This window comes from Homo sapiens, chromosome X (genome assembly GCF_000001405.40).
Source record: "Homo sapiens chromosome X, GRCh38.p14 Primary Assembly".
Lineage (NCBI taxonomy): Eukaryota > Metazoa > Chordata > Mammalia > Primates > Hominidae > Homo > Homo sapiens.
In genome coordinates, this window is record NC_000023.11 from 17,833,722 (window position 1) to 17,853,972 (window position 20,251).

General features: G+C 42.9%; 1 protein-coding gene across 11 annotated transcripts in view; it reads right to left on the reverse strand.

Moving 5' to 3' along the window:
* The window catches only part of RAI2 (retinoic acid induced 2), a 61,250-nt gene that overhangs the window by 33,673 nt on the left and 7,326 nt on the right, over nt 1-20,251 (reverse strand). For 3 of the 11 annotated variants that reach the window (NR_033348.2, NM_001172739.2, XM_011545439.3), the window contains exon 2: nt 3,816-4,009. The exons of 5 other annotated variants lie outside the window; for them this stretch is intronic. The gene's annotated coding sequence lies outside the window, so the exon portion shown is untranslated. Of the gene's footprint in view, nt 1-3,815; nt 4,013-20,251 lie in introns of all 11 variants that reach the window. 3 more of the 11 variants (NM_001172743.2, XM_006724459.3, XM_047441788.1) reach the window with 1 other exon arrangement.

The following is a 20,251-nucleotide window of genomic DNA, read 5'->3' on the forward strand; positions in this document are numbered from 1 at the left end:
TATATTTAAGATGAACTCGCTTTACTTACTTTATACCTCAATTTAAAAAGTAAAACAAAACAAAAATACAAAAGCAATGGGGGAGATACTTGCTTTGAGCTTGATCCAGCAAGCCATGTCAGGCATGTCATTTAACCCTGGGGAAAACATTCTTACCTCCTCTGTAAGTACATTATTCTACCTACCTGCTTTGGCTGTCAAATTAAATTAGATAAAACTGAGTGGGGTGGTTGTTCAATCTCATTTGTTAAATGTATGCTCGACAAAGGCAATGCTGTCAATCCCAATGAAATTAGAGTTTGTCAAATGAGGAAGCTGATTTTTTTTTTAATAAAAGATTTCTGCATTTAGGGCTTACTCTCAAATATCTTTCTAGCAGCTGTATCTCTCAGCCTATTAGTCAAAGGCAGGCACCCAGCCAGCTGTTTGCTGGATTCAACTTCCCCATACATAATCATTTCAAAGGTCGTGTATATGTTAATTTACTACCTGGTTGTTATTTTAAAAGACTTTATTGTATCATTTTATGGTGATTTATTCTTCCTCCTCCTCTAAGAAATTCTGGATACTAGAACACCCACTGGCAGGGTAGCTCTGGGTGAGTATGAGACTTCAAAGAAATCACTGTTGTCATTTTTCCAATTAAACATGAACACACACAAGCAATATGTTTTGGTCGGACATAATTATGATCACCATAGTCTGGAGCTAGAAGGAAGAAGTAGTTTAAGCAAAAATGATTCGTTTTTTTTTTTAAAGAAGACAGCAAGCGAGATACACACAGCGTGCCTATCTAAATCATTACTTGACAATAGCAATGCCCATGTGGTGAATTTGACAACGTCTAGGTCTTTATAATTTGACTCGCTTTACTTTTTTCCTGGGGACAACCTAAGGATTTCGTAGTTGATTATAAGGCAATGCAGTTTCATTTTCTATGGATTCTGTGAGGCCCACAGTATCCTTAAGCTTGGATCATATGGGAAGAGAATAAAACACCCAACAGGAGGAAAAAGGAGGTTGAGGAGAAGGCAGGGTAAGAGAAGAGAGGTGGGATTCCAAGGTAGCTTACAGGAGGGGAAGGCGGTGGGTTGATGGAAAGAGGTCGCGTATGTAATACTATTTCATATGGCAGGGGTTACAGAAAAGGTTTTTATGGTGGTGGCTCAGGGAGGAGAGTTGTGATGAGAAAGGCAATGGCAGAGAGCCACAAGAAGAGGGAGGCCTAGAGAGATCAGGCCCAGATAAAAGCACTGATTTGCTTTCAAATGAACATATCAGTGCCTCATTTACTTTTCACTGGCACCTGTAATCTCGGGGACCTCCCCAACATGTGTTCATGTTGGAGAAAAGAACGATTCAAGCACAAAATCGTCAGTGAGTGATCACCATTGTTCTTCCGCTCAAATGTCACATTAAGGCGCCCATACGCTACCATTCAGAAATCTATTAGTAACATAGCGAAGTCAGGAACTTCCCTGACCTACTTTTACCAGACAGTGGATGCTTCTAATTCTGCAATCAGTGAAACAGTAAAACGATTAGAAAATGTGTGTAGCATGGTGCGGGATCAGACGAGGCAAATACAGCCGCTGGGGAAAGGTTAATAGAATGTAACTTAAACAGCTTGTGTGCTTCTAAATTTGCCCCAGGCAATGAAGGGCACAGGCCAAAGGGAATCCTTCAAAACCAAAACCATACTCCTCCCTCTACCATTCCCAACTCTTGGATAGCCTGAGTTTATCTGTGCCTTCATATTCCCTGCTCCCCAGCCCTTCCTGCACCAGCTGTGCCCTCCACACAGATCAACCAAGATCTGTATCTGCAATTTGACATCTTGCCCTCTTTAAATGCTGTAGGCCTTCAGATCACCCCAGCCCCACTGAGATAGGTCCGTGTGTTTATCCCCCCAGAACCACAAACTCAAACTCAAATCATCAAATGTTATAGCTAATTATATCCTACTGCCCTAAGCCCCACCTCCTTCCTCTGTTCCCTTTCTTATGTGGAAAAATACCCCTCCAAGAAAAGATGAAAAGGAAACTGGACAAACTGCTTTGTGCATTATGGTTTTTCTCCCTAAAAAGATTCATCCTGGAATTCTTTTAAAAATATTCATGCTTATGTTACAACTGAATTTTGGAAAAATTAGAAAAAATGGAAAAATTCATTCAGGACTCTTATGCCCCCAACAAATCAAAACTATTTAACTTTATTGTTTTATTTTTTACAGGAAACAACCTATCATGGCACAGATACAATTTTTGTCTTTTCCTTTTCACACTGTATTTTATGATAAGCCATTTTCCTCAGAGATACAGAGTAGCTGAGAATCACCTTAAGTAACAATACCCACCCCTCAACTCCCACCCCTGCAACCCCTGTATCTTAAATGATTCCATTTCCTCACATCTTTTTGGAGTTACATGTCTATCGTGCACAAACAGTATCGGGAGTGACAAGGACAGGGAGCAATGGGACCAAGCTGTCTGCCCTCATTGTAGCTTGAAAATTAAGTACTACAGATGCTCCTTCACTTACGATAGGGTTATGTCCTGTCATAAGTTGAAAATATTGTAGTCAAAAATGCATTTCATACACCTAACCTACCAAAATCATAGCGTAGCCTAGCCAACCCTAATGTAAGCTCAGAACACTTATATTATCCTATTGTTGGGTAAAATAATCTAACAGCAAGCATATTTTATAATACAGTGTTGACTATCTCAGTAATTTATTGAATACTGTACTAAAAGTGAAAAACAGAATGGCTGTACAGGTATTCGAAGCACAATTTCTAGCGAACGAGTATGACTTCTGCACCATTGTAAAGGTGAAAAAAATTCTAAGTTGAACATCGTTAAGTTGGGGGCCATCTGTATTTATTATGGTCCTCCCCTGAGTTGGCCCCTGATCACAAGCTTCTCCACAGCAAAGATATCTGACGAAGGCCTTGCTGAACCCCAAACCAGGCGATGCAGACAGTGTCATGGAATTTGCAAAATCCCCAGACAAAATTAGTGTATGTGCCAGAAAGCATTTTTCCTTGGGGAGGAGCATGGTTAAATTTGGATTCCCCCAAAGGCAGACCCTGTGACCAAGATCTGAGTGCATACAGTGTATGTAAAAGGGGACCACAGGCAGCACCCATGGAACAATAGAGAAGTGAGGCAGGAAAGGAAGGCAAACAATTCAGGATGCGTTAATAAGCAGCTGACTGCCATGAGCAACTGGGGCTAAGTCCCACTGGGAGTTAACCTCAGGTTTCTCCCTACTGAGGGAGAGAAAACAGCGGCATCTGTCTTCCAGTTACATTGCATCATCAGTTGAGGGCTGCTCCTGGTGACATATGCTCCAGAGCCTCTTGCTTGTCCTGTGCCTGGGCTAAGCATGCTTCCAGGGCCAGTACTGAAGTCTTGGAGGAGAGAGCTGCAGGGGTTCGAAGTGAGCACACAGATAGGTGGAGGTGAGTACCCAGGAGGTAGGGGTCAGCCAAGATAGCTTCCACTATAGAGATAATCAGTCGAAGAGCGAGCTGCTGCAGACACCCAAAAGACCAAAGCCCACCAGTGTGCAGGTGCAAGCCTGTTTGTTTCTCTTTCTTCACTCTCTGAAATCCTTACTGACATCCTGTGGATGGGCAACAGGCTGGATTTTCCCAAGGTCTGAGTTCCCTAAAAGTAAATTGGGTATCTTTAGAAGTTGTCTGCACCCAGCCTTACAGGGCTTCTAATGGGAAATCTTGGCATTGGAGCCCAAAACACAGCTCACAAATCCTGAAGCAGCCAGTGACCCTACCAAAGATCCCCACTTACCTTCCAAGGAGTAATTTAATCACTGGGAAACCTGGATCATAAACTCTGAAGTTCTCAGAAATGATGTCTGTTTGGTAGTGGAATTCTGTGTCCAGGCAAGCCTGCCACCCTTCTTAATGTGATCCTCTTCCCCCAAAGGAGAGAAGTCAAGACAGGCCTTATGCAAGTTGACTGCTTCATTCTTCCTGGGAAGCCTGCTGGGTTAAGTTGGGGGTTTTGTTATTGTTGTTGTTTGATTTTTGGCAGGGGGTTATTTTTTGCAAGCTCTATCTTTGTCAAATGCTATCACAGGCAACATTAAGACAGATCTACATATGGACACAAAAAGACATGTTCAAGAATATTTGTAGCAGCTTTATTTGCAATAGCCCTGAACTGGAAACCACCCAGATGTCCGTCAGCAGGAGAATGGATAAACAAACTGTAATACATCCATACAATAAGATACTACACAGCAATAAAAAGGAAGGAACTACTGACACAACCAACAACATGGATGAATCTCATAAGCATTATGCTAAGTGAAAACAGCCAGACAAAAAGACTACCTATACTGCATGATCCTGTTCATATGAAACTCTAGAGCAGACACAACTAATCTACCGATACCGAAGTAAGAATAGTGTTTGCCTTTGGGAGATATTGACTAGAAATGGGCTCAAGGGAGCTCTTCAGGGTGCTGGGACTGTATTCTATTTTGATCTGGGGTATGATTATACGGGTGAATACACATGCACTTAAAACCCATCAGCACATAAGATTTGTGTACTCTGTGACTTTACTGTATGTGTTACATATACACCTCTATAAAAAGGTAAGATAGACTAATATAACAATAAGTTGAAAGAATAATAAAATAAAATAGGACAGCTCTAGAGAATACTGTCTCTCTCTGTCTTTCTCTAACTGTGACCAGTGGAAACTTAAGCCCTTGCCTAGAGCTTGGTCTCCTTAGGGAGAAAATGTTTGAGAGGGTTCTCTTGGTGAAGTTGGCATTTTTGCCACAGGAAACAGAGAAGACAGAAGGAAAAACTCAACATGAGCCCAGAGGTCTTTGGTGCGCAACATGAATAGTTTGGGGGAATTTAATCAGGACCGCCTCAAACACACACACACACACAGCACACACACACACACACACACACACAAAACACAGCACACTCATGCATTGAATCACATCCACACACACTCCATGCCCACCACCCTGCAACACCACATGCACTCACGTCCCACACTGCTGCTGCAACACACCTCACACAGTCACACACATGGGACTGCACACATCACACATCATATACACGGCACACTCACATACTCAACCACATCACACTGCACAGACCTGCATACACGCAAAGCACACATCACATGCTCATACCACAAGGGATCATAAACACACAGAGTGGAGGCAGCCCCTGCCCTCTCAGGGCCAACTCTTAGAATGCCAGCGCTGTTTGGGTAATCACCTCCTTCTTCCCGCTGCCAACCACAGCCACTGTCATCATCATCATCATCATCATTCCAGAAACATCCCTCATGGACAGGAACATCTCAGAGTGCACGCAGCTGTGCCTGCAAACAAAGACATCTGCCTGGAGCTGCCTGCTCACCCCAAAAGCTGTCTGGGCACATCAGGTTTCTGCCTGGTTCTGTGGAGTGAGTGTCCTGCAACCTTCAGCTCCAGCCCTGACAGGAACCCTGCAGCGACATCTATGCACCATCCTCCTCCCTCTCTCTTTCTCTGTCCTACTGGCCACTGCCCCCTTCGCAGTAAGGAGACTTGCTTCCCTTCTTAGTGTGGAACAGTGTCCATCCTGGGCCCAGATCAGCCCTGACCTTCCAGATAATGCTGACTTCGTTGCCAGGGGAATGCAGAGAAACCAGCCAATATCCAGAAGGTGCCATCCTCTCAATTTGGGATGCTGGCGCCTCCTTGCTGTTAGTCTTTGCCATGGACTGCCATAGCTGCAGCCTTCTGAGATCCTGGAAAACCCTTTTTCTGCTGTTGTTACCTTAACTTGAAGAACTCCACTGAGTCCATTTCAATATCTGTTGACCATCTGGACCTTCTGCAGAAAATAGGTCTCCATGTGTGGAAGACAGTGAAAAATTCCCATCAGCGTATGCACCATTTAACTCTCAGGAATCTCCCCCAAAGATAAATGCACAAGCAGGTTTATCACAGCTCTTTTGTGTTATGAAGACTGGAAACAACCTAAATGTCAACTGAGAGGGAATTGGCTTAGTTAATTATCCCAGATTATTACACCAAATATTACCCAGTCCTTGCAAAGGAGGACACAGGTTGGTCTGTTCTGACATGGAAAAAAATGTCCAAGGAAACTATTTAAGGGAAAAATAGGTGAAGAAGTCATTTGGCAGGAGAGAATATAGATTTTCTATATTTTCTACATGTAACATGAACTAATTTTTGTTGAGTGAGCATGTGTGTACACGTGTGTGTGTTAAGAACTTAAAGAATAAAACCAAGCATGTACCAGTTTTCTCTGATAATATTACAGAGCACTATTCATGTCTTTGTTTCAGATATCTATAATGTTTTTATTTTTAAATATGTGTTACTTTTTTCAGTCAGAAAGAGACAAAAACATTTTTTTCTAAGTGTCCATCACTGGCCCTTCACCCATTCTTTTTAAAATCTTGGATTACCAATACTCAGAGGCAGCTGGACCTTGAGGCCAGTGAGTTCAGCATTTTCTAGCTATGGGGTCTGGGCATGTGACTTCGCCTTGTTGAACCTTCCTTTTATCCATCATCAACAAGCCTCATTGAGAGCCTACTCAATGCCACCCTCTGTGCCAATCCTGGGGTGACAGTGGTGGACAAAATGCTCATCCCCTTCCTACTTGGAGTTGCATCTATCGGTGTAAAATAAGGAATCTTTGCAGGGCTACTGAAAGGATTAGTAACACAAACAATTCCAGGCACATAAAAGGCCTTTGAAAACTATCGGCTGCTTAAAAAAAAAACCCAAGGAGCATGACTTAGTTAAGGTAGGATAAGTTACCTAGTGAATTGCTCCTAACTTGTAATTGCTCAATAATGAAAGCTTATGTCTTGTTTATGTAACTGTCTAGGGTGGGGGCTCCAGATCTGGCAGTTTTGTTCCATGAAATGGCCTTCCCTAGGCAGAAGAGGCTCTGCCATCTTTAACTGTGGCTTTCAAGGTGACCTTGGGACTTCACTCCATCCCAGACAGCCAGTGGATAAGAGAAGAGCTTGGAGGAAAACCTAGAAAGCTTTTATGGTTGGACCAGAGGTGCACACATCCTTTCTACTCACATCCCATTGACCAGAACTCAGGCAGATGGCCACACATACAACTGCAAGAGAGACTGGGAAATGTAGTCTATCTGGGTACCTAGGAAGATAAACAAAACAGGTTTTGGGGACTAACCAGCAATCACTACCGTAGTGAATTAGAGAGGGAAACAAATCCCTATGACTTTGTTTGTGAGTGTTTATTTGTGGCCAGTCTGCAAATAGCTGATGCTCAAAGAAGTCTTTGCTCTAGAAGTTCAGAAGCTTTTTTTTTTATTATTTTTTTGCTGAACTTTTAGTTTTTTGGAAGAACTCTAAGAAGACATCTGTTTAAGCCTCTTTTTTATCATCAAGGTTGTCCTGCCACCGTCTGAGATACTACTAAAAAACAATGCCAGCCCCAAGCTCTGACTTTCACAAGATTTGAGATGCTGTCAAAAATAAATGCCAGCTCCTCAGATTCTGTGTGAAAGAGATGCCAACACGCATCTAACTCAAACTAAAAGCTGCAGACAAGAAGCTGTACCATGCATACATTGTCACTCCTACTCCACTAAAGAACCTCACATGCGAACCAGTGAATCCATGGATTAATCATGGCAACTAAAAGGAAATATCATTTTTTCCCTTAAGCTCGCACTTTGCAGAACCAGTACTTATATGTCTGTCTGTCAGAGGCTTACATCACAGGTTCAGAAGGCTTACGATTTAATTCTACAATATGGTTTGCAGAAAGTCCATGTGTGTGGTCGAGATAGGGACAATACGTGTACAATACGATACTATTCATTTGTTCATTTATTCATTCATCCATTCAATCAATATATATTGAGTAACTCCTCAATTATGAGCACTGTGGGTCCCGGGTTGAGGATACCAAGATGCAAGACACATTCACTGTGTCGTGGGGGAGTCAGCTGTGTGAACACACAATTACAATGCAGCCAGACACCTGCTGCAGTGGAAGCACGTGCGATGGCAGTAGAAGAAGCACAAGAAACAGATTATTAAAAAGGCCACTCAATTCTTGGTTATTTCTCTGATTTACTTGGCACAGAAGCATCAAGTAACTCATCAGAAATCTTCCTATGGCTCATTAGATGAAACGACTGGAAATGTGAAGAGAAAGGAAGTGCTCTAGGGCCCCAAGGGCTCTTTATTTATGCTGTCATTAGAAAGAAAGTGGGCAAAGTACTAGCAGCTGCAGACGTTGGATCTCTCCTGTGTACTAGGCATCTTGCATACTTGTCACTCATCCTGACAGGCAGGTATCACTGCCACCCACTGTACAGTTGGCATCTCTGAGGCCAGAGAGATGAAGACACTCGTCCCATTATGTAGTAGTTGGTAGACCTGAGAATTTGGCCCCTTTGACTCTAAAGGGCGATCCCTTTCCATTGCATCCCCTTACTGCCCACAGTCCATGGAAAACCAGGGAGAACAGACCCAGTGGACAGAGGGAGGCTTAGTCTCACTGCGAGGGAGAGGCAGCAAAGGATGGTGGAAGGCGTTAGTCTCAGGAGCTGATGCTCACCCCCTGGGAGTAATATGAGGATAAACTGTCGTCATTCATTCATTGATTCAACATTTATATTAAGGAACTGCTAGGTTCCACATGCTTGGGGGATATGACAGTCAGTAGAAGAAGAGAAATAAATATGCTAAAAATTTCTTTGTCACCCATGAGAAGTAATAAAACAGGTACCTTTTCATTTTTGATGTTAATGATTAGGGAAACATAAATGATCGGCAAAGTTTTGAGAAAATCAATTTAAGCACAAGAAGACTTTGAATTGTAAAGCTCCAAACTCCTGGAGAAGATAAAGAATATATGTATAGGAAAAAAAAAAAAAAAAAAGACTGTGAGGACATGAACCAAAATGGTGATAGTGGCAATCTCTGGGTGGTAAGAATGCGAATGATATTTATTCTCTTCTTGCTATCTTCTCATACTTGTAAATGTTTTAAAGTAAGTATGTCTACTTTTATGATCATAGAAAAACAAGATTTACTACCAAGGTAAAGAAAATAAAACTCCAAAAAGCCAGAAGAGAAGGATTCCTGTGTTTCATCCCTTTCTCTCCTGGCACGTAGGCGGTGACCAGCATGTCAGCCAGACAGCTATGCCTCACTCCTATAGTAACACCCAATGATATCTTATTTCAACACACTGCCTGATTATTTCAGAACTCACTCGCAGGAGTAGCCACAGGAGGAAATATGCACTCATCACTGAGATATTAGGGACTGAATCCTGAAACTTGATTTTTCATTAGGGCATTATGCCATTTTTCAATTAAGACAGGTTCATCTTTTTTTTTTTTAAAGTGCTGATGTGTAAAATCTCATTTCCTTCCTTAGCACACTTGCCTGTGGGTTTTGTTTGTAATGCATTTCCATGCACTCCAACGAGTGGCAGAGAAACTGAGCTCGTGAGCTGTGTTGCGACAGTGCTCCTGGTGCTGGAAAGGAAACTGCAGCTCTGTGAGAACAATGCTCTGGAAAATCTGTAAAACCCAGTTGAACACACCTAAGGTTTGCATGAAAGGGCAGACATTACTCATGGCAGCTTTGACAGTGAGAATGGAGACAGAAAAGCCATCCAACCCTTCAGCAATGAATGTGCCTGGATGAACTGATCAGGTCTAATCTAGAAGCCAAGGAAGAACTGTCTAATGTCTTGATACAGTGGATTCATTGCATTATCTTTTTATTAAAAGTATTTTCCATGTTCTTGAATAAAAAAAAAGATTCTGACCCTACTCCCTCAAGTATTAAATCTAGAAATGAAAATATCCTCACTCAAACTAACAGGGTCTGTGAGGGGCTTAGGTTCTTAACATAAGATTCTATTTCCTGCTAGAAATATTGTTTCAGAAAAAATAGAAGCTATGATAGAAGGGCCACAGGAAACATCTGTGTATACAAACAGGCCAGCTCACTAGGAATAAAAATGCATTATGCATCACGAAAGTCTAAATATTTTTATTAACATGGTTTGTTAACTAAGAACTGAGAAATAAGGTTCCCTAAGAGTACCCCATCAAATGCTTTCTTCAATATTTCATTTTATTCTTAGGAGAGAAGTTGCTTGGGAATCTTATCTTAGATTTTTGCAATGAGTTTTCTATTAAAACTTATTTCTTTTCCATTTCAGGCAGAGCAAAGCTCTGGGCCAAGAGGGTTAGGGAATTTGTTTCATAAAACTGACAGCTTGGCGAGTATTCAATCACTCGGCACTCCACAGCCCAGGAGAACAAATAAGTCCTTTGCTGATGCCGCTCCAGACACATTACGATGTATGTTCCATAGCTTGATTCCCACCTTCCCACTTTTTGCCTCCTGCAGCAAAAAGAAAAGGAGGCAGAATGCACATAGAAAAATACAATGAAACCTACGAAGAAGAGAAATTCATCAATCATACTCTCATTTGGAAGTTGGAGAAAAATGTCCTCGTTGGATATGCTATTGCTGTTTTAGTCGCTGTGCCTGGCCTTACCTTCCAGAAGGCCAGTTGATTCAGAGGACTCCCAGCCATTATATTGTCCTATTCTTGGTGCTCCCAGACATGTGTCTTTGCAAGCTCTGACAGAGGCTTTAATAAGGCAGATAAAGCAAGCTTGGTGGCTGCCTTTGGCCCAGGTGGTGCCAAGAACAGGTTACTGGCTTGCAGCCTGGGCATTGTCTTGGGCAGAAGAGACCAGCCTGCCCCAAACCCTATACCAGCAAGAACCCAGCTTGGAAACTTCCTGTTTAACAAGCCTAACTCACAGCAGCCAGAGAAAGAAAACCATTACAAAATTTCTGCTCCCACCCTCTCCATCAAAACAAATCACAGGACTGGATTTTTTTGGTACTCATACACAAAGCTATGATTTAAAAATCCCTGCATGTGATACAACAAATCTATGCTGTTAAAAGATAGTGGCTATTGTTGGTGAGGATAATGAAGAGGGCATGAAGAAGCTTCCAGGGGCTGGTGCAGTCTGTGTCTCCTTCAGGGCACTGGTGACATCGGTGTGCTGTTTGTGAAAATTCTTCAAGATGTACACTTAATAATATATGCAATTTTGTGTATGTATGTAAGAATTTTAGACAAAAATCCACAAATAAAAATTTGTGTTAGATAATTTTTAACACATCTCCCATCCATATAGCTGGCTTTAAAAACCAAACATTACCAAGGAAAGAATAAACCATGTCACCCTACTGCTTAAAAATTGACCTATTTGAAGTGTGTGTGAAATAGACAACCTTTTAAAAATGCTGATGCTATTATTTAAGTTCTAATATCTACTCCTCATACAGTGGTACAGAGTGCCACAAATGAACAAGAAGACTCATTTTCTCTCTCAGACTCATTTTAGGAGGGCAGGGTATCATTGAGGGCACTTTCCAAAGACCTAAGTCCCATTTGGGGTGGTTCTCAACTATCTGAACCACATGGCCATGGCCGAGGAATCTTATTCTTGCCTTTTTCACATCTTCCTCTAGTTTTCCCTTTCGCTTTTATTTCCCTGAACTGAATTCCTCCTAGACCACCCTCCATATTCTAGTTGTTGAGAGTTCAGGTGCCACCACGAGAATAAACTCTGAGTGCTTTTCCCTGTCACTGGTGTCCTAAGATGAGTGTGTCACCTCACTCTGCATTTCTCTTTGTATTTCTGAATGTACCTGAAGGCTTGCACCAGGACCCAACAGGAAAAATCCCTTTCATTAGCTTCCTACTCCAAGCTCTCCACTTTGTACCATTTACAACATGTTGCCTGTTTATTTACTGAGGTTTGCTTTGCAAGAGAAATCTTTGGGATGGGGGTGGAGAAAGGAAGCTTTTGAAAACTTAAAATTTTTTAAATTTGGTTTCAGTAGAGTGATGAATAATGGAGGATTACAGTTGCTTTGCAAAATTAAAATCTGAATGGTCTACTGCTACACAAGAGTCTGCATCTTGCTGCTCCTAGAAAAATAAAAAGTCTTTTCTAATCATGATTTTAAGGACGTAGGAATGCATTATGTAAAGAAAGTGTTTTTCTCACTCAAGACTCAGTTTAACATATTTCCATGTCCAGTTAAGGACTTTCAAGTCCCAGATTCCAGCAGGACTGAAGGATTTGTTCACTCATCTGAAATTCAACTGAAATATCTAGACAGGCATCAGATGGGTGGGATAACAAGAATGGCATAGGGCGGTCTAGTTTCCAGGAAGACAGGGTAAGGATCTCAGGCTCCTATTTTAAGAGAAGTGCTTCAGTTGGAACCAGAGAAGCTATTGGAAAGGGTTTCGGATATGTTCTTGCCTTTTCTATTCCCAAGCTCCTTTTCTTCTCTGTGGTGGCATCCCCATACTGATGCCAGTTCAGGTGGAAGTAAATCTCCACTGCTTTGGTTCCAATCAGCTCAGCCATCCATGTTGCAACATTTCCCCTGGCAGGTGGGGTGACTCACTCACCATGGTTTGCCCAGGACTGTCCGAGTTTTAAAACTGAAAGTCCTGTGTCTTAAGCACCCTCTCAATCCCAGGCAAATGAGGACAGGATGGGTGGTCATGCTAGCAGCAGGCCACCAGCTAAACCCCTCTCCCCTAGCTGGGCCCAGTCAAAGCCTGAACCAGCAGGCTCACCCAAAGTCCCCTCCTGCTTACAGAGTCTGACCTATTTAAAGCGTATGTATTTGTGAAGTGCATTTAAAGCTGCGGACTGAAGGTGCTCCTGGCTGTTGACTATGTCTGTCAGGTTTTGTTTTTGTCCCCAGAATGGCTTCAAAAGGCTCTTCTGACCCATCAATTTGTTTTCATTGCATTTCCTTCAGAACTGAGGGCTCAGAATAGGATTGCCTAGGCCATACCAAGATTTTCTGACTACTCACCTAGGCCTGGCTGCAGGGGGAGGGGAGGCCCAGATACCCACTCTCTCCCTTCTTCTGAGTTTCCTGACCCACCAGGGGGCCCAAAAGACAGAAACCAGGGTGCTGTCATCATTTAGTCTGTCTATCAGCCTAATATGATTTGGCTATGTCCCTATCCAAATCTCACCTTGAATTGTAATAATCTGCATGTGTCAAGGGCAGGGCCAGGTGGACATAATTGAATCATGGGAGTGGTTTCCCCCATACTGTTCTCATGGTAGTGAATAAGTCTCAAGAGATTTGATGGTTTTATAGATGGGAGTTCCCCTGCACAAGCTCTCTCTTGCCTGCCACCATGTAAGATGTCCCTTTGCTCTTCCTTAGTCTTCCACCATGATTGTGAGGCCTCCCCAGCCATGTGGAACTGTGAGTCCATTAAATCTCTTTCCTTTATAAATTACCCAGTCTCAAGTATGTCTTTATTAGCAGCATGAGAACAGACTAATACAAAGCCATCACCAAGCCTCAGAGAGGCAGCCTCCTAAGATTCTTTCTGAATCCAGCCACTAGCCTCCCCATCCGCTGCACTCCTCTACTTCGGTTCTTCCTTGCCTCTCTTTCTGGGTTACTGCAACAGGGCCTTTTTGGTCTTCATTCCCTCCACCGTCCCCATCCCCCACCCTCCAGTACATCTCCACTGGGAAAAAGACCAAACACATAAACTAGGTCACCTCAAAAGCCTCCTGAAAACTGCTCAGGATGAAGTCCAAGGTCTTTATCAAGGCACACAAGACCCATTATGATGTGGGCCCTGCCCACCTTTTCTGCTCATCACTCAGAACTGGCCCTTTTGCTGCCTCTGTTTCTTCATCCCACAAATGAAAATAGCTGTTTCTGAAAGTGACCGTGTAGTTGAAGTGAAAGCACATATATTAAAGCCCTGCAGTGGTTCAACTCCATCTTAGGTTTGGAGAACATGGAGTCCTTTGCCCCCAGCCACAGAAGTGGTCAAAAGGAATGAAGGGGAAGGGTGGAGCACTTGGCATAGCCCTCTGCAGAAAGCAACGAATTTGAAGGCAGCAAATAAGTATCCATATGGATGGGGGAATGAAGAGCTTCCTGTCCAAATATCCACAGTGGAGTTAACAGCGGGTTTGGCTGACTAGAGGAAAGCAGGCCTCAGCCCCTGGTGATGATGGTGACAAAGACCAGAGAGGGCCAGAGCTCTGGGACCCACTACATGCTGGTATTTACTGAGCCGCTCATGGGTAGATGGCAGAGAGCTAAGTGGTAGGAAAATGGAAGTATTAAAAGCCCAAGGAATTTACATTTCAACACCAATTAATGGGGACAGAGCCTCTATAATAATGCAAAAGAGGACTTAACTTCATGCCTTTGGAGACTTACTTTTGGAAACAGACAAACTGAGGGAAACTTGTGTGTTAGCACTTTTTTGTTCAATCTATTATCAGCATCTAAGTGCTGCCAGGAGCCAAGGAGGGCTGGACTGTCATAGACTGTGATTAAAATGAGCTTTAGGAAGTGCTGCCTGGCTCAAGAGAATGAATGTTGGTTTGAGACCAAGCCACAAAAAAAGACACATGATTTCTGCTCTCAAATAAAACAAAAAATGAAAAAAAAAAAAAGGGTAGGGGAGGGAGAGACAGAGAGAAAAGAAAAAAGCTTAGTCTCTGTGGGGGAAAACAGAAGATTTGTGCATACTCAGAAAAAAATATTCCATACCACTCTTTCATTTTACAAATATTCATAAGAAAAACAGCTCAACAGCTGCTTTGGTGAGTAACCTCAACTACTTCTTTCCACCTGTATCTAAAAAAAAAAAAAAACAAGAACATTCTTAGCACTGCTGAAATGGAGATCAAGTGTTAAGGTGGCTGACATCACAATCTCCTTCCAGGGACCTTTCCAGACCTTCCCTGGCCTCCTGGCCACTCACACCCCCTCACCTCTACCCCTGCCCCAGGGAGGCTGGCTTTTGCCCTCCAAAATGGACAAAGACTTTAATTAGGGTGAAGAAATAAGTGTAGGGGCATGGAGGGGTGGGGGAAAACCCAGCTTCATTATCTGTCTGTCTCACTCTTTCCTAGTCAACTTTTCTGCCCTGTTTAATTACAGAGAACAGCAAATTGGACAGCAAATGGGCCTCTCTGCCTGGGCTTGCCCTAGATTGCTAGGGTGGTCAGGCAGTTCCTAGAGCCCATGCTTCTTCCTTCACCCGCAACTGGCTCTCCACCCTCTTCCTCCCAAAAGATCCCAAATTAAAATGAATGCATTCAAGAACAATTGCTAAGGAAGTGACCAAATCTAACAGTCGCCCAAATAAAGCTGGGATGACGACGAGAGGGTAAGCTCTTCAGGACAGCAGTGGGAAGGAAGCTTCTCCCTGCTGACTTGAGCCAGCGACCACTGCTCCCTGAGGTACAGAGGCAATTCTAATGCACACTTGCCCTTGAGAACTGCTGGCTACAGGCCTCTGAGAAAAAGCAGAGCTGTGTTTTGTCTAGAGGGAGGAAGAGAGATGTAAAGTCTGCAGAGAGCAGACAGACGGAATGGTGCGGTGAAACAAGCATATTCTAGAGCTGCTACCAAAGTGTACATTCAGTAAAATCCACTTCCTCAGCCACTTACTTGTAGCTAGTGGCTACCATACTGGACTGTGCATAACATTTCCATCATTGCAGAAAGTTCTACTGAACCACGCTGTACAGAATCCCAGTTCCACCTCCTGTAAGTGGTGTGATCTTGTGTAAGTTACTAAACGTATCCAAGCCTCTGATTCCTTCTCTGTGAAATAGAGTTCATAATACGTATACCTACCTCATATGGTTGTTATGGAGCTGGAAATAAAATAATATATGTAAATCACTTGGTACCACTGTCCAGCCTATAGCAGGAGCTTGATAAATGAGAGGTAATATAATTGCTTTTATGATTTCATGAGCAGTCATTGGAGGATGTTTCCTAACAGAATGGACATTCTGCATTGGCTAGGATGGACCCGTTCCACTATGTTTGAGTTGTACGTTCCAAAGCTTGGGTAAGTGGCTCAGTTCTCAACAGGATAAGTAGTAGTGTAATTCTGAAGCAATACCCACTTGCTGGCAGGCCAGAAAGGTGGTATCCTGACCCAGAGTGGTAAGAGACTTGTAGTAAGGCTGCAATTCTTGAAACCAGAAAGCCTCATTTTGTGAAAGGCTTCCTTTTCTTCTCTTTTTTTCTTTTCTTCTCTCTCTTTCTCTCTCACATTAAACTCAAGCCTTCCATTTTCTTCATCTAGAAAGATGTCCAAGATACCCCATAACCTTTTTGGAAATCTCCCCTCATATGAGAAAACAAACAAAACCCAGCACAGAGAAGTTGTAAAACCTGTAGACGCCCTCCCATGATGCCTTACTGAATGCCAGTCGAAGCTCTAGGACAGGAGAAATGGGCTGGGAAAGTAGAAAGGGCTTCATATGTGGACTTTTATTCAACCTTATTAGGGAATAAGGGGCCACTGAATGTTCTTGAGCTAGGGTGACAAGACTAGAGAGGTGCTTTAGCAGGAGGAAGCTGATGCAGGCCTGTGGAACGGCAGCTGGGGGAGCAATGCAACAAATCATGCAGAGCAGTGAGGAGAACAGGGTCACACCGGGGAGCCTTTTGAGGCCTGTGCTCATGACAGCAGTGGGCATGGCTGAGGAGAGGGTGAAGGGGGTCAAGCCCACGAGAACCGGCAATGGCGCTGACATTGGGAGTCAGGGATAAAGGGCCCAGGCTCTCAGCATTGAGGCTGCACGCTTGTGCGTTCATGTTCAAGAGGCCAGTTTTGCCCCCTCAAACTCCTCCAAAGAAGCAATTCCATTCTTCACGTGGGCTTAGGACAAAGCCAGCTCTCTATGAGTGAGGGGTCAGAAGAGCTGAGTAAAGAAGGGACTCAGGGAAGCGGTCCCAGGATCCTTCCTCAGGTTGCTGTTTCTGGCTTAGGAATCATAACAAAGCCTCCCCTTCCAGGTCTACTTGGGCCTCCTGGGTGAACCTCAGACTTTTGAATGTTATGGATGAGTAGCATTTTTAAAATGAAGGATCCAATATGAGTTAGAAAACTTCTGACTTTGTTAAATCAAGATGTCAAAATACAAATGTCATCCACTATCTCTTGATAAGTCGTAAGAGAAAGTTTCACACCAAGGACAGTGGGAAAGATCATTTTGGAATACAGGGCAGTTTTGTAAAGTGGAAAAGGTTTAGCTTTAAACAAAATAAATTTACTGCATTTTCACTTTTCTTCCACTTCACTGTGAGGGGGCAGAAATCCTGTCCGATACAGGCAGTGGTCTGCAAACCTGGTCTGTGGGGACCACTGGCTTATGGGACATTCTAAGATGTTTCCCCTTGCAGTTTTGGCTGTAAGCTTCAGCCCTGATGACCTCAAATCCAGCTGCTCAGCCTCTATGAGCACAAACAAAGCTTGGGGTTTCTGGTGTGGCTGTGTCGAACATGGAAGGGCAGGGCAGAATTGGCCTTTTCTAACCTTCTTAAAATGCCAGTGATAGACCAAAAAGGATCTTAGAACAAATGGCCCCATATTGATATTTTCACATTCAATAATTTTATATTTGGTCTAGAGGGCTAGTGATTCTTTTTTTCATAAAAGGAAATTGCATCCAGAGCTAATTGCTCAATCTGAAATGGATCTGGACATTGTTTAGATGTTGGAAAGGAAACGGTAACATTGTAGAGCTTTCACAAAGAGGGGAGCATTATTTTAGAACAAAATTTAAATGGAAATTAATAGGAAATGTAACTCTGTATGGTTTTCAAAGCTTTGATGTGCATAGTCGAAAGAGTATCCCTATTCTGTGCTTTCCTTGACATTTTTCTTGTTTATAAAATGCAATAGGAAATTCATCGGCACAGGCTCAATCCATTCCCATCCATTGATTGCTAGCCAATCAATGACCATTGTAATCTGAAAAAAAGTAACACTGGTTTCTATGACCCTTTCCAAGCACAGCACTGTTTAGCTAAGCTTAATAAAGAGAAAAACAGCAAGGACCATCTGGAAAACACTCTTCCGGAGTCTCGAAAGATAGTGGCAGCCTCTGCCCAACCTGCTATAAATAAGTGTCTCAGAAACAAAACAAAACAAAAAAAACACCCGATTTTCAAATCTGTTTCTACTTAATACAGCTGCAATAGGGTTTATTTAGCTTTTCCCTATAGAAGGAAGACTGTTTGCATTTTTATGACAAGTTCCTAAATGTTTTTCACAGCCATTTCCATTGCCATTATTTTGAGGAACAACATACCACTCAGATCTGTCTGTTTGCTTCTGCACACACAGCGGTGGCCCCAGTGGCCTCTGCACCACGAAACTGGCCTCCAACGCCCAGATTTATGATCCTATTTCCTCTCCCAGTGTTGCAACCATCACCTGAATCCTGGCCTGCAACGGACTGGCAACTTAGAATGTCCAAGTGTCACGTGCTACAAATCAATTATTTATCCGCCTGAGCCCAGCACACTGTGGATCCCTACCAGCTTGTTGCCTCTCTCTTCATGGCGACAAGGAAGACTTCAACTACTCTTCAAGAGATGCTGGAACTCACCAATGAAGTGTCGCTGGCTTGCCAAATCCCTCAATGCTCACCTTTCCATTTTTCCTCACTGGCTAGTATGCAAGGGAATCCTACACATGACACTCTTTGGAAAAGGTCAGCCTACCTTGGATGGCTGCAAAATGAAGTGGCCTATGTTGACTTCTGCACTGAACAACTGCCCCTATCCTTCACCAGCATCCCCTGCTCCCATATCACTCTCAGAGGCTGGCAGGGGAGGGCTAACTGGGGAACACTTTCCCTGTATAATGAGTGATCCACTTCTCTGCCCTCTCCCTGCCCCCCAAACACCCATTCCATTTCCATGTATGGGCAGGGCATGGTTTGCCCGCATGACACCTTCCTTGTGTAAGGCATGACCCTCCTTTCTAGCCTTTCAAGGGACTACCAGAAAGAATATGGCTGAGGGCTTGTCCTGGTGGCAACATTTCATCTGCTGTTGCTGCCTGTAGGCATTACCAGGTGCTAGCTGCCTGAAGGAGAATTGCTTCAAGGAAACAAATGTGTGTAAAAGGAAACAAAATTGCCAGGGGTGATGGGGGCTACCTGAATTTCAATCATTACGAAAAATGATCCATCTACCGAGAAAGTACTGTTGACTTTCTCTCTCAATAGTACTGGAAAACATGGAATTTAGTGGTGGGTAAAGGGCTGCTACAATCTGAAATGAGTCCATTACAATATTACGAGCAGAGCTCTCACAAGTACACTAAATGGCTAAATCAATTGGCTCGGGCTTAAGATGCTACCGGAGAAATGACAGTGGGGAGGGGCTGGGGGTGGGGGAAGATGCCTGCTGACTTTGAAGTCATGCCTGGAATCAGGTGCATATGAAAAAGAAATTAGGGAGGAATAAACCTGTTCTCTTTATGAAAAACCAGAGAAGCCACTAGTTCTTACAATGTGCCCCCCAATCACCTATGACTTATAAAATTGCCTGCCTTGAAAAAGTCTCTATGCTTATACAATCTTATAGACCCTTCCACCAACCTTAGAATTAAATCACGCACATGACCCACTTCCAACCGTTAATTAATCATGCCCATGAATTGTATTTATAAAAGTCAGAGGGGGAAAATTGTGTCTTTTATTATGTCAAATGGAATTTTCCAAAAAAACACAAAGTACTTATTAAATTTTGGTCTAGACAAGTGGTCTTCAACAGGGCTAATTTTGTCCCAGAGGGGACATTTGGCAAGGTCTAGGGTAGGAGGATGTGGTGTTAACGGTATCTAGTGGGTGGAGGCCAGGGATACTGCTGAACATCTTAAGGTGCATGGGACAGTCCCCTGCAACAAACAATTCTCTGGTCTAAAATGTCAACAGGGCCAAGGTGAAGAAACCATGCTCCAGATAAAGCCAAATATGCTTGGCCTTTAACATTCATTTTTTTTTTAAAAAAAGGGAAAGGATCCCATTTTTTTCAAAATCTAAGGCAGGTTTACATATATGTTGACTAACATATTTACTCCTTTTCCATATAAATGAAATAGGTTCTCCATCTGAATCTAGGAACATTAAAGAAATATTGTGATGATGGTGGGGGTAGGTATGGGATATTTTAAATGCATATTTCATCAGTCTAAATGGGTGGAAATTAATATCTCATAAAATAAAATGATTATCTAGTTATGTTCCATACAAAACCAAAATCAATACACTGTATCTTACCTAAACTGCAATTAGAGTTTT